This window comes from Homo sapiens, chromosome 1, assembly GCF_000001405.40.
Source record: "Homo sapiens chromosome 1, GRCh38.p14 Primary Assembly".
In the NCBI taxonomy this organism is placed as follows: Eukaryota; Metazoa; Chordata; class Mammalia; order Primates; family Hominidae; genus Homo; species Homo sapiens.
The window spans coordinates 101,822,140-101,848,831 of NC_000001.11; the positions used below are offsets into that span (position 1 = coordinate 101,822,140).

Here is a 26,692-nt window from a genome sequence, read left to right on the forward strand (position 1 = left end):
ATGTGGGTTAGAAAAAACAAACAAATGGGGTTAAAAAAGAGCTGAGGAGAATATAGAACTACCCAACTGCAGTACAAATTATTTCCATCTAGGTAAACCAGACAGAATACCTGTAGAAGGAAAGCTCATTTATAAAATTGAGCAAATCCCAGAAGTTGTTTTTTGTGTTGTTCATTCAAAAACATAACTGACATACGTTAGGTTTCAGGGGGTTTACTAACTAGAATCATCCTATTGCCTGTCCTTGCTTCAGTAGAGTGCATTTGTACTTAGCAGATGCCGGCTCACTACATGCAATGCCTATGTGCTTGGGTTTATTGTGACATGCTAGGAAGAGTGAATTGATTCTCAGGGTCTGGAACGGTTGGTTTCTCTATAACAAATGGACCTCCTCCTCAAAAGCAAGTCAAAGCCCTACACAGACAAATCCTACAGATTGTCACTTGCAGAAAATCTTTAACCAGATATTTTATGAGCTAATAGAAAATGCATCTGGATATTTCTTTGTAAACTTCATATTGTTGAGGACACTGGGTAATTCTTCATTTGAGATTTACTTGTTATCTTATTTTATGGAGACACCATCTGGCAAGCCCTGTCACTAATATGGGCATTAAACTAAAGATATTTCTTAATATAAAAAGAATCAAATATAACAGCAGAATTTCCTTATGTAAGCAATGTTTACCTATTGTATATTAACCATAAACTCCACAACTTGAATTATAAAAGCAGAGCATGTAAAATAATTATTTAAGTGCTATGTTAAATAAATAACTTTTCCCTTGCTTAGTCTTATCATGCCCTGCCATTTTGACTCAAATAGGATGTGGCTAAAAAGATGCATTTCTTGTTATGAGTAAAATAGATCATTCTCTGCTACTTGAAATAGGTAATATGGTTGAAAAGTGTAGAAATTATTCCTATGACTCCTTATAGAGTAAATTTATTCACCAGATATTTATTGAGTGACTTTTCTTTGCCAGGTAGTTTTCTAGGCATTGGAAGATACAACATGTAGAGTGAACATGATAGACATTGTTCTTGTCCTCGGAAAAAAAGTCTAGCAAGACACATTATGCTACACATGCAATGATAATGAAACAAGAGAAGTCCAATCATTAGTGAAATATCAGGATTTGGAAGTGCCTAGCGAGGACACCAGCTTAGTCTGGGAGGGCAATGAATGATTCTAGCAAGACACAACATTTAAACTGAGACCTGACAAATGAATAGTTTATCACATGTGGCAGGTGAAAGTGCGTTGATGGAGGCAGGGTACATAGGGGAAGGAGTGTTTCAGGAGCAGGAACAAACAGCATCTTATAACAACTCCATGGTAAGACATTGTAAGGCACACATGACTGGGACTTAGTGTGTGAGGAGAGAAGTGGCAAAAGCTAAGCCTGGAGAAGCAGAAGGGGCCACACATGAAGGGTCACATAAGCCATGGACTGTATCCTACAACATAAGGAATCCATAGGAGATTTTCAACAGAGCAAAATAATTTCAGATTGATACTTCAGAAAATCCCTTTGGCAATAATGTGTACAATGAGTTAGAGAGGAATGAAAACTGGAGTCACAGAATCTATTATATATAGTTGATTGTTAGAAGACCAACTGTAAATGAGAAAATGTAGACTGTGTTTGAGGAGGAATAAAGAACTGAGGATTCTTGAACATGTGTTTCGGCCTTCAGGTTTACCTTATTTCCTCCTGATTCATTTTGTTGGATTCTCTTAGAAATCCTGGTATGATGACAGTGGAGCCTCCGATGTAGCAATTTCCCACACTATTTTGAGGCTGTGATAACTGAATGCAACATTTTGCATTTTGGATTCCTTTTTATCACTTGAAGCATATTTGTAAAATAGTCTTTACAATGTTCTTGTAAGCCACTCAAATTTTATTTTAAATGTTTACATTTATTCACTGAAGTTTTCTTTACTAGAAATTAATCTTTTGTGTGTGTGTGTGTGTGTGTGCTTTACTTCTCTTCCCAATTTTCCTGATCCACAAAAGAATTTATTTATCTTGAGAGAACACTTTCTATGGGTATTGACTTGCCCTCCCTGTCATATCGCATCATGTCAACAACTAAAATACTGATCCTAAATTAACTTGTAGCTCCTCCTTATTCAATTCATAGCCACTTATTTATTTTAAATTCAAGTTGCAGACTAGTCCCATGTTGACTTCAGTTAAATAATTAGCTCATGGATATCACGAAAGAGTTTGTAACTCAGACCAGATTGGACCACACATTTTAGGAGGTAAGAAGTAGAGTCCATGACCCATGCATGTCACATGCTTGACTCTTTACACAGTGGTGAGTACCTATTTAAGTAGCTGCCACCTTTTCATTTCTTGAGTAGATCAGAGCAGTTGATGGCAATTCTGTAAATTGGAGGAATTATTTCCATTTGCTTTAATAATTGCTGTTTGACATTTGGTCCCAGGGTAACTTTCCTTTCTCTAGTCTCCAAATTTCCCCACTAACCAAACAACAACAACAACAACAACAACAACAACAACAACAACAAAAAACAGTTTCTTTTTCCACTAGCCAAGCAATGACTGATATCACATATTGGAAAATAAAATGTATATCCACTAGTGTAGTCCATAGAGTTGACTGTATTTGCCAGATTACTTATTTGAAGCCACCAAATGGTAACACAGGGCTCTAAAAATCAAGAAACCATTAGTCTAGCACAGAGTACCCAGACATGCTTAAGTCATTAGGGGACACTTCACACTTAGAAAATGGGCTCTGATTTCTTTACAATTAGATATTTTATGACTCTTTATAAAACGTAAGAGCACAATTTTCTTTGAAACTATATAAAAACGTAACTTAGACAAATTAAATTGTCATACTCACTTAGCTTTTTCATGCAGTCACGAAGTCTTGTTTCCAAGCTCAGCACTCTTTGGTGTAGTTCCTCGTAGTCATAGGCACCAATTTCCTCCTGAATACCAGTGAGGACAGCAGACAGATTCCTTATTTCCTCCTTGAACTGGGTGATTAACTTAGCATCTGTTTTGTACTGTTCCAGCACGGGGATCAAAGGCAGGAGCTCGTCCATTTTCTCTTTCAACTCCTGTGAAAAGCAGCCTATTGTTCCTGAGAGTCATTTAAAACAGATCATGCTGCTCTGTTCTTTTTATTATGATACTTAAAGGAAATTATTAAAACAGCTTCAACATTTCTTATTGATTTTTGGTTGAAATTAGGTATTTTGTGAAAATTTAAGCGGTCATGTGATTATTACTAGTAAGTCCATTTATTTCAGCTTTTCCATATGAGAATCTTTCTTTAATGCTTAGTTTTCTATAACAAATATATCCTTATCATAATTAGAAAAACTTCCTATGGTAGAAACTAGGACTATATACTATTTCATTTTCTGGTAACATTTTATATAGTGAACAATGTATTATCTAGTTAGGAAATATAAGCAGAATCCATCTTCTAATTATGAATTAAGTTTGAATAAAGTGATTGAAAATAGGTCAATACCCTATGATTGTTCAGTTGAGTCTAATCATCCACCTACTAAGTATCCATGTTATGGGGCACATACAGAAAATTGTGGACTCTGGATCAGCTTTTTTCTGACACTTAGAATTTTTCCATCATGGCCATCAACCAACTTTGTTTTTCCTTTGTGCTCAGGTATTCCTTGAACTTTTAAATATCAATTTTAGCACAACTTCATTATGAAGGTAAGTTCAGTAAGTGTTATAAATCAGATGAAGTGTCCCAAGGCTCAAATAAAGGTATGTTACTGTTTACTATTTTGAATTATTACCTGTACTTCGACTCCATTTATCTTACCATAGATAATTTAAAGGTCGTTATGTATGGCAGAATTGCTTGCCCATGTGGCGAATTAACTCTTTAAGAAACCAAGGTGTGTAGTTTATGTAATAGATGAGCCAGTTACACAGAGTTGTTTGAAACTGAAGCATTGACTTTCGTCAAACACACACACACACACACACACACACACACACACACACACACACACAGTGTATGTTGTCAAGCAGTATCCCTCACCCCTAGCCGTAACAGGACTGAAGCACGCCTACAGTTTCACCTTGGGTTTCTAGACATGTCACCGTTACTTCTTTCTCTCTAACTTCATAGTAGTGAAAATAGTAGTGAAAATAAATAAATATTTCTTTATTTATTTCAGGAGTTTGATTCAATTGTGAATTTATTGGAAATAATGTCATTTGTGGAAAGAGCAGTCCCTCTTATGATTATTTGAGAATAATACATAGATGCTGTCAGAAATTATACTGTACACTAACTGATTTAAGGAGCTGAAAATTGCATTTTTAAATTACATTCAGGAGATGTTATTACTATAAATGCATTAAAATAGCAGGAGCTCCCATTGCTGCCCTGATTTATGGGTTTGAGTTTCTTGTGGGGAAATTTCCACTTGCTCTGTAAGTTCAGAATCTTTGAATTTGTTCACATGTACATATTGAGTGGGAGGCTAAGGAGAGACTTAATAATGAGAAAGATTCATAAATATCACAGTCAAAGGCAGAATTGCAGTGCTTTGCTCATTTTGTCAGCTCATTTGGAAATAGACTTATTAAAGTATCTTGTGGTATCCCTAAAGGAATACACAATTGTTTCATTAGGATTTTAATGAAAATATTTCTGTGGTTATCATTTTCTGCACATTATAACAACTGTTACAATCAAAGGTTTTACATTCTACTATGGGCATATTTAAAAGAGAGCAATTCAATGTCAAAATGTTGGTAGCTTTTCTTCTCCCTCAATTCAAAACTAGATATTTATATTTTTTAATCTTTTCAACAATTCATAATTTGATTATTAGCGATCAATTGTGAAACTCTGAAAACTTATATGAGAGCATTGGAAAGTCCACCCAATGCTCATATCAAATACTTAAAAGATTACAGTAGAATAGCATAGACCTGTGTTTGCTAATCTCTTCTAGAATCTCACTTTCTACTATGCTGCTTTTACATCCAAGTTCTTAGCTAGAGTAGAGCCAACATCAATCTCTTCATATAAGAATGTCAATCTCAAGTATAGTAGTTGGCATAAGCTTTCTATCTGAAAAAGTGTAGAAGACAAAACCTACTTAACATTCTTGATACGATGGAAATTGTGTAACAGAGGAAGAATTTTTTTTTTTTTTGAGACGGAGTCTCACTCTGTCACCCAGGCTGGAGTGCAGTCAGTGGCGCGATCTCGGCTCACTGCAAACTCCACCTCCCGGGTTCACGCCATTCTCCTGCCTCAGCCTCTCGAGTGGCTGGGACTACAAGCGCCTGCCACCACACGCAGCTAAGTTTTTGTATTTTTAGTAGAGACAGGGTAGGAAGATTTTTTAAAAAGTATTCTTCAATATTGAATTTACTTTGGAACGTTCCATTTCCTCTTTTCAAGTATAGTACTAGCACCTAGAACAAAATCCAACTCATGGTAGGACTCAAGAAATAAATAAACTCCACAAATATATGTTGAGCACCTAATTATTATTATTTGTAATTCAGAGACCTAAAGTCTACTTGGAGAAGCAATGCAGCATTAGTATTAGAAGGTACAAGTTTGGAATTGGACTTTCTGAATTTGAATCTTGGTTCTCATGCATATTAGATATACGACTCTGGATAAATTACTCAACCTCTTTGATATGGTTTGGCTCTGTGTCCCCACCTAAATCTTATCCCAAATTGTAATTCCCATATGTCTGGGAGGGACCAGGTGAAAGGTGATTGTATCATGGGGGTGGTTTCCCCCATGCTGTTCTGATACTGAGTGAGTTCTCATGAGAGCTGATGGTTTTAAAGTGTGGTACTTCTGCATTCATGCTCTCTCTCTCTCTCTCTCTCTCTGTCTGTCTGTCTGTCTGTCTCTCTCTCTCTCTGTCTCTCTCTCTCTCCTCCTGCCTTGTGAAGAAGGTGACTGCTTCCCCTTCCATCATGATTGTAAGTTTCCTGAGGCCTCCCCAGCCATGCAGAACTGTAAGTCAATTAAACCTCTTTCTTTCACACATTACGCAGTCTCAGCACAGATCTTTATAGCAGTGTGAGAATAGACCAATACACTCTTTGTGCTCCAGTTTCCTTATCTTTAAAATGGAAATGAAAATAGTGCCTGAGTTACAAGACTGTTGCGAGCATTATACAGTTAATATACTGAAAGTGCTCAGAACTATACCTTGAATATGTATAATATTCTGAAAAATCATTATTGTTATTATCATTACTGTTATTTGGATTTTGACATATAACTTCAGCGTATACTTGGATTACATGAACTAGGAAAATCCAAGCCATTATGTCACATGGTGCTGCTGCCTGAAAATTGTTTTCTTATTAGTAGCCTGGCTGATTTGCTGCTAGGCAATTTATAGGACTAGGTACATTATTTCTTTGGGGTTTATCTCAATTTTGTATCCTTTTTGTTTCTTAGTTTCCTGTCTTCTCGCAAAAGTTCCCAAAGATGAACATGCTTCATCATGCATTCCCCAGCCCTGTCAACCCTGACACTCTCAAGCTGTCCTTTGGCTTTGCAGAATTCTCATTGCATTGTCCATCTACGCCAAACAGTCTGAACTCCTCTCCTCCTGACTAGTTCCTTCTGGGAATGCTCTTCCCACACCTAAGGTGCCAGCTTACTATTTTCTACTTTGCCGATGACCTCAGCATTGGGTTCCCATTATTATTTTACCATCTACACTCTAACCCTGAGAATTGAAAATTGACATAGTAAATCTTTTGGTTTTCTTGATCCCCCTATAATTTAATAGTGGAGGGGTAGGGTCACTAGTACGAAACCAGCTCTTCTCCTGGTCTTTTTAAATCAAAATTAATTTCTCCTCCCTTTGTGCTCATAAGTAATGTTTATGCCTCTATTCACCATCAATTCACCTGCCTGTTAGTTGTCTTTCATAGAAGACAGATTACGTATAATACATCCAGCAGAGGGGCCAACCGCACCTTGTATATGGTATGTGCTCGATAAATACTGGCTAAAATTAATTCTTTTGCTCTTCATCCTCATATTCTTCTCTGTTTACCATTTATCCATAAGTTTCCTATTTATCCAGTTCACTCACACTCTCATTTTCAATAATCTTTAAATTTAAGTATATTCTAAATCTTGCTCTAATTTGTCCTAATTACTTAACCTGCTGGTTTTGTGTACTTCTCTCTTCAATTTAAACCTCATGATTAATCACTTCAGTCCCCTCTCTTTTCAATACCCTCAACTTTCTTGCCCTCTTTTTCTTCCTTTGTGACCGTCTGGGTAAAACTTTAAAACCAATTCAGGGTGTAATGTTCTTCTATACCTCTCTACTCAGTCTCTGGAGTACCACTGAAGAAAATTACAAAACCATGAAACTTTCTGCCACATTCAAATGTGTTATGCAGAGACTCGGTTACATGTTCCTCACTAGCTCCCCACCAGCCACCACTATGTGTAGGAAGCACTCCTTTCCTTGCCCAAGGGCTTGAGTTCAGATCCACTCCCTCAACATCAGCAGTGAATCTCACTTCCTAACTGACAAGAAAACCAGAGGCTATTAAGTGGGCAACCACAGTGTTTTATGAACTATGTGCTATGCCTAGGTAAGGCAAGTGGTTTACTTTTAATGGGAGCTGAGATTGCATTAGCAGACCAAGAGTTTTTTCTTTTCTTTTTTTTTTTGAGACGGAGTCTCTCTCTGTTGCCCAGGCTGGAGTGCAGTGGCGCTGTCTCGGCTCACTGCAAGCTCCGCCTCCCAGGTTCACGCCATCCTCCTGCCTCAGCCTCCCGAGTAGCTGGGACTACAGGCGCCCACCACCACACCCGGCTAATTTTTTTTTTGTATTTTTAGTAGAGACGGGGTTTCACCTGTTTAGCCAGGATGGTCTCAATCTCCTGACCTTGTGATCTGCCCACCTCGGCCTCCCAAAGTGCTAGGATTACAGGCGTGAGCCACCACGCCCGGCCGAGTTTTTTCTTAAAATTCATAACTCTTTCATATATAGTTAACAAAAGTTGACATAGCATGATTTTTTTCTCCATTTTCAGTATTTGTAAATAATTGCCAATACAACACTTAAAATCTAGAAAAATACTTTATTTGGATAAATTTATGAAACAACTCTCTCCACATGCTCATATTAATGGCATAGTTTTCTCTTTAAATAATTTATATCATCTACATCTTTCTTCATATTAGCAGGGCATAAAACCATTAGAGAAACATTTATAATTTAATTATTAATTTTCCTTGGGGAAATTTCCCTTGTTTCAGAAACTCCACCAAACTCTACAAGAATGAAGCTTTTTCTATAGCAAGACTTCCATGTCTTCCTACCAGCTAATGGTCAGTTTCAGTGGAGAGATGACTGAAATCCCCCATGAGTCTTTTACCTTGCACATATGGGCCAATGCACATTCATTTCTAGCTGAGTGCCCCACTGCTGTCCATCCCACTCCATGTCTGATTTGGATTGACAAGATTGCAGAAGTCAAACCTACCTGAAAATGCTTGGTCATAAGTGTCTTTCGATCATCTTCAATCTGCCGAAATTTTGCCTTCAGCCCTTTCATTTGGGTTTCCATTTTTAAAACATATTGGAAATCTCTCTGAGTTCTCAAGTTTAAGACTTCAATAGACTGGGACATGTTCTGAACCTGTTGAACAAGAATATTGTCTGTACATTATTATCTGTTTGCAGGTTTGTGCAATCACTAAGAAATAGCAAAAATGCCGTTAACATAAAAACTAGAAGTGCCAAATTCATAACTGGGTTCCCATATGACACATTTTCAGAAGAACAATTCTTCATTATAAACATTTAAAGAATTCAGCAAGAGAAAATTATACCTAGACAGGAAATTTAAAAACGGGCATTCTAGCATTAGAACTGACTGAATATAAATGGGCTTAATACATTAGAAAAATAAGCTTTAAAAATAGAATTTTCATTTTAAGGCTTTGTAAGCTAATAACATCCCAACCTGTTAAATGTCAAAATAAGTTGTTTCTGTAAGTACTAATTCTGACTTCTTAAATATTTAGGATGTTTAGCAATTGTGGATGGTAGTGAAGTGTCGAAGAGGCCTAGAATGCATTCATTCTAGCTCAGTAAGTTCTTAATGGGTCTAAAGTACTCCCAGGGGTGAGACTGAATTGACTAAGACAAGTGGTAGCAGTACTAGAACACTCCCTAAATTGGACAGCATAGTGTTTGAGGGACCTGGAAAAGGGTAACTGCATCAAGTGCTTGGTAGACAGGACTTAAACACATTTTAAGCCAATGGCACCATCCCAGGTTCGCTGAACCCTGGGCTATTTGGAAGTAAAAAAGAGGTAACCTATAACGCATGCAGAAATGAGAGGAAAAAATGACTGGTCTAATTTTTGTAGCAACAAAAATCTGAAAACAAAGAGAAAGCATCTAATAACAGGGGATGTGTTAAATAGAGAAATAGAATATGAATGACCCGTTATAAAGATTAAGATAGATCTCTATGCTGTTAGTACTCAAAGCAACAATTTTGGTATCACCTAGGAGTTTGTCAGAAATGCAAAATCTCAGAAATGCTCATCCAGAACTACTGAATCAAAATATACATTTATCAAGATTCCCAAGTGATTCCTATGTCTATTAAAGTTTGAGAAGTACTGCTCAATATAGAAAGATTTCAATGAGAAAAGCAAATGTAAAGATCTTCATAAAATTTGATCTTTTTTGTTGCTTTTGTTGTTGTTGCTGTTTTTTGTGAGACGGAGTCTCGCTCTGTCACCCAGGCTGGAGTGCAGTGGCATGATCTCAGCTCACCACAACCTCCGCCTCCTGGGTTCAAAAAATTCTCCTGTCTCAGTCTCCTGAGTAGCTGGGATTACAGGTGCACGCCACTACGCCTGGCTAATTTTCGTATTTTTATTAGAGTCGGAGTTTCATCACATTGATGACTATCACCTCAAGTAATCCACCCACCTTGACCTCCCAAAGTGCTGGGATTACAGGTGTGAGCCACTGCGTCCAGCCAATCTGTTTATTCTAAATCAAATACAAATACATGCACACACATATAATCAGTAAAAAGTTATTTTCATTGAAAACATGTGATTTACAAAGGGATGACTTGTTCAGACACAAATTTTTGTCATCAGATAAAGTGGCAATGCTAAATGGATCAGCCAGCTGTAAAGTTCCCATAGTTGATACATTCCTTAGAACTATAATATTGGAAAAAGGCAATGAATACTGTCTTGGCCTGCCTCAGTTCTTTGCCTTTTTTTCACCCTTTTCTGTTCCCTCTGCTGTCTTGATCCATCATCTTGCCCTTTTTGGATCCTGTCCTTTTAGGACATATTACAGTCTGGCTTATCTTAAAACTAATTGTGTTATGTGGGTGTGGAGTAGGGGCAGGGAAGTAGCCTTCCCTTTGTGAGCTCCATGAGGTTAGAAGCTGTGTCTTACTCATATCTTCCATTTCCAAGACCTTACACGGAACCAGGCACAGAGTAAGTGTTCAGTGAATATTTATTGAGTAAAATTATCTTGGGTTTGTAATAGTAATAATAAGTATTTAGAATTTTAAGGAGAGTCTTCCTACTCCTGTCTCTGGTTAGGCAACAGCATTATAGGAATGTAAGTATTTCTTAATTTACTAAAAGTTTAATATTCCGAAAGCTTTATTTTTAATTTTCAAAATATTTAATCTAGCACAAAATTACTAAGACAACATTGGAAGCATGGTAACGCCATTGTGGATAAATGCAATGCTTTCAACATAACTTTCTAACTTCATTTGTGGTTAAACATGTATAAGGAAAAGCCATTTGCATTAAAAAAAACTGTCTACGTATTTAAATATGGCATTTGTCTGTGAGGACACCTATCATTAGCATGGCTGATATCCTGGTAATAATTCTATGTACCTGGGCCAAGTCTATACAATTAGAAAATGATGGGCAAGATAAGGTATTCTGGATAAAGTTAAAATAGCCTGTCTTTATTTCTGCCTTTGACTCACCCTATAAGGTTAATTTTCAACTTCATTTGTGTTACAGGAAAATGCACTGAGATAATTTTTGCTAAGGCTTGATGGTGACCTATATTGCAGAATCATGTGTAATTAGAGGAGCTACATTTGGGGTAATGGCTAGAGCTAGAGCTGTCTAATTGGCCAGGATTTGGCTTCAGGTGGTCTTAAGCATCTCTTGCTGGTTATAACTAGGATTGTTTAGTTTCCCACTGGCTATAGAGGCCTACAGAGCATCAGTTTCCTGATGACACGGGAGACTGAATACCCATGACGACATGAGTAAGGAAGGAGAACTGTCTGCTATGTTCCCTCTTTTTGTTGGCTTATCTCTGCGGTTGTTCTATGATTCAGCTTTCCAGAGGTGTTTCTGTGATTAGGATCTCTCAGCATAGTTTGGCAAGCTCATTGTCGCCCTTCCTGGATAATTCTTTTGGAATTTTTATTTATTCTGGTTCTTTGTATAAATAAGATATCTGGGGCTTTTCTGGACTTAAACACAAATTAACTTTGATTTTCACTCTCACTCATAATTAGTGAGGTGGTCACTTGAAAAAAAAGGTCTATTAATTAAATACATTTGGATAGCCTTGAATTTAACACATATAAACCGATTTCTTGACTGTAGGACTTAACAAAAACTTTAGTAGTAAACTGTGTATTAGAAATCTTCAAGAATGAAGTATCATGTACAATGTTTCTTAAACTTATGTCATTGGTGAGGATGATGGCAGTGTCCTATTAAAAAAAATCACACTTTAGGAAATATTGACTTAGATAATACAAGACATCTTTAACTGTACAGGGAAGCTACATAGTTAACAAACAAATAATTTTTTAGGTGAGCAATTTTAGTTTTGGCATACTAAGACCTGAAATACTGTGAAACCAATTATATTTTTTCTAATATTCAATAATATAAATACCTGTTAAATGGCAAACAGAGCATCACTTAAATAAGTATGGATATACCAGTGGGATTTTGTATGACACTGGTACAGCATTGAGAAAATGCAAACGGATCTGTTAGAGCCACAACTTACTGATTGAGTGACAATGGAAAGTTTTCAACCTAAAAACCACCAGTTTTCTTTTACATAAACTTAGAAAGATAACTATCCCTTCTATAAGGATTTAATGAAGTAGATACAAAATATAATACAAAATATACTAATAATGGGAACTATTGTTGTAAATATTGTCTTTATTAACAATATTCCCTTATATGTGACTAAATCAATCTTTTTGGTTAAAAGTGAAGGAGGTGCTTAAAGGTCATGCTCTTGTTTGCCCTTTGGTGCCTTGGATATATGTGAAACTATAGAGAGATAAGCAAGGGACTGGCTCAGTCTGAAATACTGTGATATCTCAGACATCTTTTCTTTGGATCAGTGCAGCAAACCAGTGCTACTTAACCTCCTTCAGGCCACTGTAAAAGAGTGCACACAATTTACGATTCCTCTGTTGCTCTAAAACTACCATATGGTAAGTTTAATACATCTGCCTTGTGGTGACTCCAATTTTGTGAATAAATTTTGTTTTTTGTCATTTATGTATTAATAAATTTTTAAAGGTATTATGTTCTAGAATTTCTTGAAAACATTCAGACAAATTACATGTTGGATGGATGGAGTGGTCATATTAATTTCTATTATTATTTTCAACCAACCAATATAATGCTTTCATACATTTTTGCTTTCTTCATCTTTCACTACTTCCCAGTTTTATCATAGCTATGAAATACATTTTACTTTGAACCTGTAAAGGGAATTATCCACTTTCTGACATTTATACTTTATTTTAATTTTTTCAACTGATTTTTGAAGAAATGTTTGAGTGTATGTGTAGGTGTGAATATGTAATGCTGTACTGAAAAATAGCAACACAGAAGATAAAGTATGGTGTCTAAGAAAATCTCTCACCTTAGTTTATATAGAAAAAAAGATATTTCTGGGTAGAAAAGAAGATTTGGTGAAGAACATTGATTATCTGAAGGGAAATACAATTTAACAGGAAAGCAAAATTGGATGTAAAAGATTAGATCTTTTTACTAATGTAAATAATTTCCCTGGTAAACAAACAAAATATATATTTGAATTTTTATATAAATAAAAAAATCAACTTTGGAAAATAAACTCAAGAATAATCATAATTCTTGCTCTGTCACCCAGGCTGGAGTGCAGTGGTGAGTTCTCAGCTCATTGCAACCTCCGCCTCCCAGGTTCAAGAGATTCTCCTGCTTCAGCCTCCTGAGTAGCTGGTATTACAGGTGCACACCACAATGCCCAGTTAATTTTGGATTTTTAGTAGAGATGGTGTTTTGCCATGTTGGCCAGGCTGTGTTGCCAACTCCTGATCTCAGGTGATCCACCTGCCTTGGCCTCCCAAAGTGTTGGGATTACAGGCGTGAGCCAGCACACCTGGCCTTGTCATGGTTTCTAATAGTTAGATGCATGTTAGCTGAAGTCATTATTCTGAATGAAAATGACATATGCTCTTGTTGGATGACAGATATTGAGGGATCCGAAAGGATGGGATCTTGCCATAAAAGGAGGCTTAAGAAGAAAGGGCCAATAGGTGATGATAACTTCAAGCAGAGGGGAAGGAGAAACAGACTAAGCTTTATATAAGCACATGAAAAAATCCTAAAATCTTAGAGCATCAATATACTTGCAAATAATATATACAGAGGAAACTTATTTTCACTATGTAGCAGTGGAAGAAAGTCACCATGGCAGCCTGAAATTGTGTAAATAATGAGTGTCTCTATTAAAAAACTTGATTTCATTTTTCTAGCTTCTCTTCATTTTTTGTTAAAAAGTTTCTATTCAATGCCATAAATGTGTGGGTGATCATGAAAATGACATCACACAGAGTCAATTGTTAAGCATGATGTCCTCTAGAACACATACTACCTAATTTATCTTATTATTCCTAATGACATTTAGAATCCAAACACGTCATCTTTCCATAATCTGGCCACTCCAGCTGTCTTACTACATTTAGAGCCCAGCACAGTGAAAGTCTGAGTGAGAATATTTGACAGAACGATTCATTGGTTTTCCTCCCTCCCAACTAAACATAAATAACCTTTCATGAGCTCACATTTATGTGTAAAAGAGAATAAATCAAAGACATTCTGCATTTGATTGTTATGAATCCATATTAAGTAAATTATGGAGAGAATGGTATTGAATGAAATTGAAGAGCTTAATGTTAAAAGGAATCACTTAGAGAATGATGATAAACACTTGGAATTATTCATTATCTGTCCAGATAGCTTGCATATCACATGCAATTATTTTAACTTTATTGCAAGGTTGTTATGGGATTCAAAAGTTTGAGCTCCAAGAGTCTAGTGTGATCCTGAGAGTGGAGCTGAATTTTTGGCATCAGAATAAGATGCTTTTTTTTTTTCCTTAATGAGATATCAACTAGAGATTAAGATATATGGTAGAGAGCCAGTCTTAAGGTGGCAAGGTTAGAAAAAGTAAAAAGTCATAGAAATAGGACAAAGACAATAGCAGGAAGCTTGAGGTAACCCTTTCAAGGATCAGAAAAAAAAGCTTATCTGAGAAGGGGGACAAAAATCAAAAGAATCCTCTTCATTATTATCGGCTCTACCATATTTCCTTTTGAAAGAATGGTCGATTTTACTAAAAATATGCATAGGGGACACAGGACACCTACCTTTTCCAGTAGTTGGCGAAGTTGCCTGCTTTTGGCATCCCGGGAACACAGGTTTTGTTCTGGAGCAACAACTGTGCAAATGCACCGCCCATCAGGATCCTGAGCTGAGCTGTACACCTGCCACCCTTCTTTAGGACTAATCTGAGTCTGAGGAAACCAAAGGGAAACATAAAACACAGACTCCTGTTATAGGATAAAAAGAGTGTTGGTTTGTAGCATTTCAAGTAAAACACTTTTTTGATAATTTAACTTTGTGTTTTCAATCTTTAAAGTTAGCAGAGAGATATTAAACAATTTATATAGGCAGTATAGCTTCATTCAGTATACCCTCCTTATCAATGTCCAAAACAAGATCCTTTCTTGTCTTCAGGTGCCATATTAGTAACTGATTTTGATCTCATACTATTTCCCAATGCTTTTTCTATTTTGTGACATTTTAATGCAACTTTAGAAGCATCTAGTAACTACTTAATCACATATGACTCGTCTTTCTACATAAGATCTTCTTAACAGTAAATGACAATTACTAATATTAATATATTATTTTCTAATTATAATTCATGTGTGATATTCTGAAACAAAGTCCTGTTTCAAGGAGGTTTCCCATATATTGAAGCCTTAATTATTAATAAAGTGGAAAAGAGATCATTGACGACATAGGTTAAAAATAATTAGACCAGCACTATTTTGCACGAAATGCAGACTCTTAGAGGACTTAGAGTTTTTGGCAGAGTCTGCCAAATTGATTTTCCCAAAAACTTCTGTACACTTATCACTCTACCTTCTTAGAACTCAAGTGTGAAGGGGTGGTATTCCAGTTCTACTGTAGTTTTTCTGCAATTTATGCTTCTAGATTTATCTTCTGTACCATCCAACAGAAACCTTTAACCAAATCGGTCTGTGTGCGTCGTGCAAGCATGCCATGTTGATTCATGTCTTTTTATGTCGCTCATTTCATTTTTCCTGCTTGGAATGCCTCCTTTATAAACCATGAATTTATTCAGCCCTTGTGATTTCTACCTGTTGTGAAGAAACTGTCTGTACTATTCATTAGGTATTTAATGTATATTTTCTAGAATTGTCATTTGCCTTTCACATATCTCATTTCAACAATTAGCTTATATCCAGCTATTTTTTTTTATATATAGACAAAACCTCACTCTGTCACCCAGGCTGGAGTGCAGGGGTGAGATCACAGCCACTGCAGCCTCCTGGGCTCAAGCAATCCTCCCACCTCAGCCGATATCTCAGCTCACTGCAACCTCTGCTTCTCACGTTCAAGCGATTCACCTGCCTCAGCCTCTTGAGTAGCTGGGATTACAGGCATGTGTCACCATGTCTGGCTAATTTTTGTATTTTCAGTAGAGATGGGGTTTCACTATGTTGGCCAGCCTGGTCTTGAATTCCTAGGCTCATGTGATCCAACCGCCTCGGCCTCCCAAAGTGCCGGGATAACAGGCATGAACCACTGCAACCAGCCCAGCTATTAGAAATGTAAATATTTCCTATTTGACCTATCAAGTAGACTCTATCAAGCACAAAGATAAGCATTATTATTTTTTATGAAATCATTTTTCAGCAAGAACATCAATAGACTTCCAAATAATGTACACCAAATTTATTTTCATAAATAAATTTCAGTGGAAGAAAGTTACCACATGTAGACTTGAAATTCTGTAAACTAGAAGTGTCTGTATTAATAAACTTGATGGTTTTATTTTTCTAGCTTCTCCTGATATTCCATTAAAAAGTTCTTTTCATTATACAGATAGAAGCTATTTTAGTAGAGTTGGATCTCGCCATGCTGGCCAGGCTGGTCTCAGACTCCTGATCTCAGGTGATCCGCCTGCCTCAGCCTCCCAAAGTGCTGCGACTAAAGCTCTAAGCCACCGCGCTGGGCCAGGAGCAAATTCTTAAAGTAACTAAAGCATGAACCAGGTTGACTTCTTTCTCCACAGATTTACCATAGTAGGTGGAGTCTTCTGTCTCTAGAATTCACAGCAGAAGAGACACAATCTCCCGTATACTTTGTCCTAGGTTCTAGCTCATCACATACCATAAACCACCACAAAGGTCTTTTTCTTCTGAAAGCTTTAATGATAACTACTTCTAGGTGCCGATAGGCCTTCCAACAACAATCATGAGCAAATATTGGGGATGCTAAAAATTATAAACTCAAGAAACTCATGATGATACCAAGTCATCATCCTTGATCTATTACGTAAAGGAAATGGTACCAGACATATCTTTTGAATGTCTTATTTTCTAACTCCTTTAAAAAAATTAATTCATAGATGTTTCCAATGCTGCCTTTTATTTTTGGGGGTCAGACTCGTTAACATTCTCCCCATCCCTTCTTTCTAGCTCTTATGCTTGAATATCCAGTTAGGATGGAAAGATGTACTTAGAATTATACATTATTCAAATTAGATAAGATCTTAGAGATTACTGGGTTAGTCTTTTAGTATTATTTTTTAAAATGCAGACTACCCACAGAATGGAAATAGAAACAGCTTACCAGAGTAATTTCAATGATATAATTAGGTTCAAGTTGAGTAACAGTATGCGATTGATGTATCTGGACATAAGCCCTGCAGTTTTAGCTGGGCATCTCCTAACATTGGACGCAAATCTAAAATATGCCAGAAAATTGAGGCTTGTCACTAGGATAAATTAATCTATTGGACAAAGGATGAGAGGCCACCCAATTATAATATTAAAATATTTTAACAGCAGTCCAAACACTGATTATTAAACCTGGCAGCATTAATATTGACGTGCACTTGCCAAGTGTTTGGCTAACTAGTGTGGAGCTCATCATGACAGAACTCCATGTCAGTTGCTCTCTGGAACCAGGGAAGTGGGAAAGGTGAAGAGGGTTTAATGTTCATTTAGCATTTCCCCTGAAGTGTCAGTTCAATAAAACTAAAGACTCCAGACTTGTTTGTACTTCCAATTGTCTTATTGTAAGAATCAGTGAAAAGAGCCATGACCTTCTCTACTACAGAGTTACTTTGAATGATTTAAACTATAAAAAGCCAGCTTTTTGACAAGAAAAAGGTAACTCAAAAGAGGAAAAAACCTAATAGAAAAGATGAGTGCTTGACAGTCCTGTGGGTTTTGATAGAGACCTCTGTGTTGGGGTCAGTGATAAATAGAAGCTTTATGAGTGTTTCTAGTGTTCTCTTTTAGAGAATCCATGCTGGCATTGAAAAGAGAATCAAAATCAAACCAACTAAGATCTCGGATGGAAGGACGTATTTAGAAGTTTTTTGGAAAAGACTTGCTCCAATTTTAACATATAAGAACAATTATTTAGGTGTCAATAAAACATGCAACAGGAATAGCAATCATTAATGGAGTTCTATTCATTACCTGGCAGTTCATATGTGCTATTGCTTTCGAATATTATAATACACCTATGGACTAGGTGGTGGTATTCTGCCCATTATACAGATGAGGAAACAGACTCAGAGACAGGAAGGAACTTGTTCAAAGTCATGCAGGGAGTATCAGCCAGTGAGTAGGGAGATTTGTGTAAATCTGCCTTTTAGGCAGACCTGGGATTTGTACTGAGAGAGTCTTATTTCAGAGATTTTTTTTTTTTTTTGAGACAGGTTCTCGCTCTGTTGTCCAAGCTGAAGTGTAGTGGGGTGATCTCAGCTCACTGCAACCACTGCCTCCTGAGTTCAAGTGATTCTCCCACCACAGTTTCCTGAGTAGCTGAGACTGTAGGCACACACAATCACGCCCAGTTAATTTTTGTATCTTTTTTGGTGATGGGGTTTTACCATGTTGCTCAGGCCTACCTCGCACTCCTGGACTCAGGCAATCTGCCCGCCTCGGCCTCCCAACAGAGAGTGAAATTTAACCACCACACTACACCATCAATTATTTTAATACCCTTTCATACATAATGATTATAACCTTGGTAGCATTTTCTGAACTACTGTGAAGCTCAGTGCTTAGACCTGGAGGGTACATATAGTTTAGTGGTACCCAAAGCATTAATAATCACAGTGATTACTGATGCAGTTCTCTTTGAACCTTTCGTGTTAATTGGAAGAACTAAATGAAGTATTGAGCAGTTTTTAATATTGTAAAACTCATAAAATATTTAAGAATGCTCTAAATAGGAGAATTAAAATTATAGTTTTAACAATTGTATTACAAATCTGGATTATTTGCTTATAACTTAATTACAAAGCTGTGCTTTATAAATATAAAGCTAGTATATGATAGTTCTAAGGCTTCAGGGGCTTTGTAATAGGAAAGAAGGATCTTGAGGCTTGACAAGTAAAAGTAAAAAATAATCAAACTACCTTGCATTTCAATAGATTTTTTGCTTATAAAATCCCTGCTATTGTTTTAGTCTCACTTTTCTTGAACGAACTATCCTTAGAAATAGACAGTATTTAAATTTACTTATGAGGAAACTGGAAACCAATACTCAAAGAACTTAAACATGTTTTATAAGTCATCCATTTTGTTAATGCCATATATAGGACTTATACCAGCTTTCCCCAGTTTTTAGCCCAGAGCTTTTTATGCTCATACTCTTTGGATAAATGTAGATAGATCATCTATGTCCATTCACCAGTAACCATAAACACTGCTATAGAGAAGACAGGCCCCACTGTAGTTGATGAGAAGAGATGCACCCAGGCAGGTAGAGGGCATTATCCAAACAGCATGGAAACAAGTAGCCATTGGTGCCTCAGAGGAACAGATAGCAGTACAGGCTCTGCAATATATAGTCAGATATTCCTGTGGAAGGCACGGCAATCATTTATCAGGGTCTAGATGGAGGGACAGGCAAAGTAAGAGAATTCTGATCCTTTGAACAGAAGAAAATCAACTGATCGAATATTGCTAGATTTTTTGTATTATCCTGATTTTCTGGGTATTTCATAAAAAGGACAAAAAGGGATATAGCTACTGAAAGTGTTGTACAAATGGAGGAAATAAAGCCTAAATAAATCTGTTTATTAAAACTTACTTGATTTAGAGTGGAGATACCTGAGTGATGAAAAATCCCTGATAAATTTTCTGTCTGAAGATAGGCTTGGTCCCAGAGAGTGACATGTGGTTTAGCATGCTAATGGCTTCAGTTGTGGAGACAAGAAAATGTGAGGACAGGAATTAGACAGATGTCGACAGACCACGCCAAAAGAAGCTGTGTTCTGGAGGATGTTAATAAAGATGTCACTGCATAGCTGTTTTCTTGCTATTACTTATAATAATTCTTAGGACTGAATAAGAAACGCGTATTCTTCACTGAAGGAAACCTCCAGGCTTTAAGAAAAAACAACTATAAAAGCAAAAATAATAATAATAATAATGAATAAAAACCAAAAACATTATCAAATTTAGGTTAGGGTGCAGTGGCTCAGGTCTATAATCCCAACACTTTGGGAGGCTGGGGCAGGTGGATGGCTTGAGCCCAGGAGTTTGAGACCAGCCTGGGCAGCATAATGAGACCCCCTCATCTCTAGGAAAAATACAAAAATTAGCTGGACCTGGTAGCCTATAGTCCCAGCTACTCAGTGGGGTGAGATGGGGGGCCGCTGAAGTGGGAAGATGGCTTGAGCCTGGGAAGTCGAGGCTACAGTGAGCCGAGATAGTGCCATGGCACTACAGCCTAGGTGACAGAGTGAGACTGTCTGAAAATAATAATAATAATAAATTTAGGTTGGTCACCTCTGCTTATGCCCTTTGGAAATCACAATGACTTAGACTTGGGGAGGTCCTTAGAAGTCATATTTAGTCCCATGTCTTTCCACACAATGGAACGTCTACAAATTCTCCTTGTGTTTCCATTAGACCTCTGCATGAAAGGGATTTCACTGCTTTACAGGCAGCCCCCTCCACTGAAGAAAAGCAGGGGGCATGAGCCGAACTCCTCTCTCTGCAGTTTTCCTTCTTTGGCCCTACTTTTGCTTCAGGCACTCAAGCTAGAATAAATCTACTCTCTTATTCATGTGAGGATTCTTCTATAAGAAAGCAATGATCATATTCTCTGTCACCATCAAGATTTGCCATTCTGTTCTCTCACCTGGCTTCCCTCCTTAATTTGTTCAGTTGCCCTATCACGAAATGAGCATTACCTAAGAGTTTAGGGAAGGAAAACAGAATTTGGGGGGAAAAACAGTCATATACAAATCAGTTAAATCAGATATCTTCATCCAGGACTAAAACACATTGGTTAATTGAGGTTAAGAAGCTTAGAAGATATTGACAGTTCATTTCAGGGGATTCTACTCATTTTATAGAACTTTAAATTGACTAACTCATCAAAGTAGTTATTCATGAGGAGAAGCCAGCTAGACCTTTGAAAATGTACCAAAACAAATGACATGCCCACAGGTTCCTTCGAGGCCTCTTCCCACCACAGCAGTAGGGCTATTTGAGAACAGCGGGTGTCTGCTGAATGTCCTCAACTTTTTTAATTGCTCTTTCCCAGGGTCTTCCTGGTGTGAAGCCCACAGCGTGAGGGATTTCTCAGAAGCTCAGCCTCTAGGGGAAGTTACTCTGCATTCAAGAGACGCGCCAGAGGGAGCCTGAGCCTTCTGAGAGCTGAGGCTTCCTCTGCTCAGAAACCAATGCCTCCAAAGGCTGATGGGCCCAGTGGATAGATTGGAAGGGGAATAAAAAAGAAAGAAAACAGGGCCAACAAGAAGGATAAAGGAATGTTTCAAGATTCTGAGAAAAACAAGAAGGAGCTTATTCCCCTAATAAGGAGCTGTATTTAACTACTTACTAATAAAAACATCCTGGAAATTTTAAAACCCCTTTCAGCTTTTGAGATAATCAAATGTGTCCTGTTTCAGAGGCACCTGCCATAAATTGATTTAATTGCCATTTAATGATTTAAACTCTATTTTTCCTGGTTTTCTTTTTCCAGGTCATTTGAAACTATCATTCTAAAAAAGGACTATGATCATATTTGTGTAAATCTGCTTTTCTTAAACCATCGTATTTATGTTAATCTGTTTTTTTAACCTCTGCGTATTCCATGAACATTCAGATTTCAAGACCTGCGTGTGCGTGTGCGTGTGGTATATTGCAAACTCATCCCATTCATACTGTTTAAAGTGAGAACATGGAGTGAGAACATTGATGAGAAGAGCTGGTTTACTACTTTACAGCAATACCTAGTGAGCCAGGGAGCTGTCAACCCTTCCATCTAAGGGAAGAGTTTTGCTGGCCCTCCACATGGAAGCAGCAGTAAGGGTCCCTTGGAATTATTTGAGAGGCAGCAGGAAGAATCCCCTAAGCAAAAGAACCTCTTTCACTGCTTTGTCACATGCCTAAAATGCCAAGAAAGGAGGATTTTTTTCTTCTTTATAAATGCAAAACCTTTGGGAATGGTTATGACATAATTGAGAGTATAGCTTTTCTCCAATTCTATGAGGCCAGGGAGATGAGAAAACATACTTTAAAGGATGAAGGTGTTGGTGTGTAGGAGGGAAAGAAGAAGAATCCAGGGACATGGAAACAATCTGAGCAGGGTAGTGAGAACCTAGTGGGGCACCAGGGACCAAGAGGGCCAATGACTGGCAAAGCAATGGTGAAATAGCTTTGTTGAGTAGGGAGGTAGTCATGTAACTTGGTTCCACACTTGCCTCTGCCATTAACCAAATGGGGGAAATCTGATTGGTGGCTTAAATATTTCCAGTTAGTCTCCCCATTTGTAGAATAATGAGGCTGAATTAGATCAGTCATATTTCCAGCTAAAGTCTTGAGAGCCCTAAGATTTCTAAGGAGATATCTTGACTGAGACAAGCAGTTGATTGTGTGGGGAGATAACACATGGTGGAGGCCCAGTAAATGCCTCTCCCAATCATTTATTATCTGACTTAAGACCTCTTTTATGTTTTGAATTTTCATTTTGTTTTATTCAAAAATATTTATTTAGCACATATAAGATTTAATTTGCAAAAAAAAAATCTGCTGCTAAAAATAGTATGAACATAACTGGCTTGATGGTTTCTAAGATCCTTTCCACCTTTCTAGCATTAACATTTTATGTTCCTAGTCTAAGAGATACTGATGCATTCATTCTTCACCCCGGGAATCTTAAAGTATGAGCACTCATTTGGATAATTAGGGAAATGTCATAGACATTGCTCTTCTGGAAAGCATACCTAAAATAAAAAAAAGAAACATCCAAAAAAGGTTTTCTCCATTCCAGTGAATACCATTTACTGGTTTATTTTCAGTAGCCATAGTGAAACCTTTTCTACATTTTCTGCTTTTGTTCTTCTTCTTATTATTATTTTCTTCTTCTTATTATTTTCTTATTATTATTATTTTTTTTGCAAAGGGGGGAATCAAAAGTAAGAATTGTCTGTGTCAAAACATATACAGACATACAGCAATGCTTTATATTTTTCAACTAACAATTTTTCAATCAGTAAGTAAAGATATTTAATTTACTTGTAAGATAACTAGAAATCCTAAGAGAATCATGTATAATTTTGGAAATTTCATTCTCATCAGTCAACAATAAAAAAAAACCAAGCCAATGTCTATATACACAAAAAATATACATGTCAGAATCAAGGTGCAAAGTTTGAAATATAACTCATTCATTAGTACCTCAGTTTACATTCATTATCCTGCAAGAGTTAATTCAACAATGATGTTGTTGAAATCTGGTACTTGGACATTGAAAAAAAAATTGGCTCAGTAAATATTAGATAATATAAGTTTATGTTTTGTAATTGTTTATTGATGTCTATCTCTTGCTTTCTTTATAACTCCAAATCTCTTTTACATCCTTCCTGCCAGGCCACTTCATGCAGGTAGGGAAGAGGATCTCAGCAATGGAGGCTCTGGGGTTCCATAAGTAACCTAAGGGAAATGAAAATGTAAAAGCAGGTCAAAGTGTGGCTTGTATGTGCTCTGCTGGTGCCTTAAGCACTGGGAGAATCTGGAAAATTATTTAACTTTTTGGTCAGACTATACTCAGTTGATTAACATTGGTTGATAGATTATTATTAGTAACAGCAAATAACACTTGGAAATGGAGGGCTACTTTTCTTTCCATATCTGACTTTTTCTGATCCACTGGAGTAACCCACATGAAAGTGAAAACCCCTAGTTTTGCTTCTGTACCTTTTATTTCAGGGCAGAGGAATTATTTTCTAAGAAATTCCTTTTATTTGAATTTGTAAATTTCTATTTCAAAAAACAATAGTTTTCATTTTTCTTTGAAATATCAAACATGTTGCTCACTGAACCTTGCTTCAAACTATCAGGAAATACTTTGTTAGAAAGTAGGGAGGATTAAAAAGCCATTAATTTTAGATGAATGAAGATTATACAAGACAGTCTTGTGATAGGAAGTCTTCATAAAATATTAAAAATACAGGAAGATGTTTTTATCAAGTAAGTTTTCTATTGCTCATGTTTCTTAGCTTTCTTAAAGGAATTTTGGGCAGGCCTTAAATTGGCGAGTTTTTTCATTCATTTATGCTTAAAAGATGTTAGTTTCTTTGAGTGAATTCATTGCAAATAGTCACAGGCATTGCATTCCAAGGAAGAATCTGCTGTAGCAGAACTAGATTTGACAGAATATACTTTGTAGCTTACTTTGTGGGAAAAATTATGAAGATTTTTACAGATATTAAAATAAGTAAAAGAATAAGAAACAAAACATATATATATATATATTTTTAAGAATTGCCCAAGCTTCCAAGTAATATAGTTAAAGCTTTTCACCCTTAAGAATTTAATGACTCTGGTATTCTCTTTCATAGCTCATTTCTCAAGCAGTCCATTTTTGGGGTATAACTATAAAGTGTTTATAAATAAATATGATGAAAGTTACCACATAGTTACTACATTTTTGAAGCTGACCTGTAAAGGCAGAAGCAAAATCTTAGCCTTTGCAATTTACAAAACAAAGCCCACTAAATGCACTTACTTCTCAAGATGGCCAAACCCACCGCAGTAACTTACTAAGGTATCCGGAGTCGACAGCCTCGTGGTGTTCAGTCCCACCAAGGATGGGAGAGTTTGGGACATCCAGTTTGAGATCATTGCCATGGTACTAAGCACAGCGCCAAGCTTCAGCAGTGGAGGACTCATTGCTGTGGAGCTAATGAGTTTTCATAGTGACTGATTAAGATCCCGGTGCCGGGCTGGCAGCGGGAGGCGTGACTGCAGCGCGCCACATCTACAGCATGAAAAGAGATCAACTTCCCCAGCTCTAATCACCCAGGAAAGCTTCGGAACCTCCTTCCCCCATCCTCGTGGGAAGTGCCCTGCCCTTCTTTTTCCTCCCTTACCAGACATTTTGCTGGATCATCAAACAAAATATTCTTGATAGGCTTGGTTGGTAATTATCAGAGAGCAGAGGTTGGAGGGAGGCGGAAACTTGAGCTTTCCCAGCTCCACTTTAGTTAGTTACCATCAACAGAATCCATTTCCTCTGGGGTTTGTGTAAGTATAATCAGCTACTCTTTATCTTTCATTAAAAAAAAAAAATACACCTTTAAATGGAGGTCTGCCAAAGTGCACATTTCAAACACCAAACTTAATATCTACAGATTTCTCTGGGCAAGGACAGAGTGCTTTTAGGAAGAACATGAAAATAAAGTCTGCAAATAATTTTCCAGATGATCATATTGAGAGTAGGAGATAATTTTTTTTTTTAGAAAGTAACCTAAAATTAGCATCATTGCTTTAAAAATATAGTCAAAGATTAATAGCTACTGCTTGTGGCAAACATTACCTTTAGGCATCTTACACCTGAACAGACAGAAAAGAGAAAAGACAGCCTTGCAGAAAAACTTCTGTTACAGAAATTTTATATGTGTTTCCAGTTTTGCTTTTGAGAATGAAGGCTTTGCTTCGTAGGTGTTCAGTCACACAGGAAACTCAGTTAACTCTATTTTCAGTTTGTGAGGAATGACGGACTGATATGGAAAGTCTGTATCTTGAGAGAACATGTGATTTAGTATAAAGGGCACAGGACTTGGACTCAGGAAGTCTGGGATCTAGTATTTGTTCTCCTCTAGTTAGCCATATGACTGGCCGGTGACAAGATTCCTTGGCTTCAGTTTTTTCTACAATATAAGGATGTTGGAAAATATGCTCTCCAAGGTCCCTTCCAGCTCTCAAATTCAATGATCTGTTTATTAGATTACATTAGCAAGTGTGGTATATAGAATCCAGGGTTTATGGGTAACTTTATTATATTGTTTTCATAAATACTATAAATTTTCCACATCCAAATCTCAGGTTCCAAATGAAAGAAATCAGAGGTCTTTGTCTTATCCAATATATGTGTTTTAAAGTAAAAATATAAAGAGAAGACACAAAACAAAATATGGATGAATGAAAATTAAATGAAAAGAAATTGGTTACAAAAAGGAAAAGTATTGTTTTGATTTCTTAGGAGAATTCTGGACTTGTTTGTATTTGGAATCTTCAGCCAAAGATATATATTTTTCTTAAATAGTTTTGGCAGGAGAAATAAATAAAATGTCCTTAATAAAACTGAAAGAGATACATATTTATAGTGTGTGTATATTTTACTTTCAAAAACAGCTTTAAACTGGGGTGGATGCTAAAAGACTCCTCAAATCTTCCTTGCAACTATTAGCTTAGAATCCAGGCCATTTTTTTTTTTCAAAATATATCCAAATGACTTTAATCAACTCTTATTTTTTAACCACAGTGCCCACAAAACCAAATATTATTACTTTTCTATTCTTTCAAAAATCATGCCATATGAAAAACCAATAAAGGCACAATATTTTATGTATTAAACTTAGCAGAAAGCCCTGTGAAATTTTACATTAGTATTACAATGTGTTAATGACAAAAAGCAAAGTGGATTTACAAATCTAATGTTGAAAAATACACCTGGAACTCTATCTTACTTTAATAAAGAAGGGGGGTGTCTTTTCAAGAGCTTAATTTCCAAAATTGAAAGAAAATA

General features: G+C 36.7%; 1 protein-coding gene across 7 annotated transcripts in view, besides 2 other annotated features; it reads right to left on the bottom strand.

The window, feature by feature from the left end:
- Positions 1-26,692, bottom strand: part of OLFM3 (olfactomedin 3) — a 194,367-nt gene that overhangs the window by 19,580 nt on the left and 148,095 nt on the right. For 4 of the 7 annotated variants that reach the window (NR_110211.2, NR_110210.2, NM_058170.4 and 1 more), the window contains 3 exons: positions 14,740-14,886; positions 8,533-8,688; positions 2,887-3,106 (listed from right to left, as the gene is read on the bottom strand). Coding sequence is in view for 4 of the 7 variants with exons in the window: in NM_058170.4 (NP_477518.2) it covers positions 2,887-3,106; positions 8,533-8,688; positions 14,740-14,886 (523 nt within the window). In the remaining 3 variants the exon portion in view is untranslated. Of the gene's footprint in view, positions 1-2,886; positions 3,107-8,532; positions 8,689-14,739; positions 14,887-23,340; positions 23,596-24,705; positions 24,850-26,692 lie in introns of those variants that run through there. The other 3 variants (NR_110212.2, NM_001288821.2, XM_047444385.1) reach the window with 2 other exon arrangements.
- Positions 20,637-21,540: an enhancer, noted in NCBI's record as "OCT4-NANOG hESC enhancer chr1:102308332-102309235 (GRCh37/hg19 assembly coordinates)". NCBI's record gives its function as "activates a minimal SCP1, AML or CMV promoter by ChIP-STARR-seq in naive H9 embryonic stem cells {active_cell/tissue: H9 hESC(naive)}" and the evidence as "EXISTENCE:reporter gene assay evidence [ECO:0000049][PMID:30033119]".
- Positions 24,633-25,137: an enhancer, noted in NCBI's record as "NANOG hESC enhancer chr1:102312328-102312832 (GRCh37/hg19 assembly coordinates)". NCBI's record gives its function as "activates a minimal SCP1, AML or CMV promoter by ChIP-STARR-seq in naive H9 embryonic stem cells {active_cell/tissue: H9 hESC(naive)}" and the evidence as "EXISTENCE:reporter gene assay evidence [ECO:0000049][PMID:30033119]".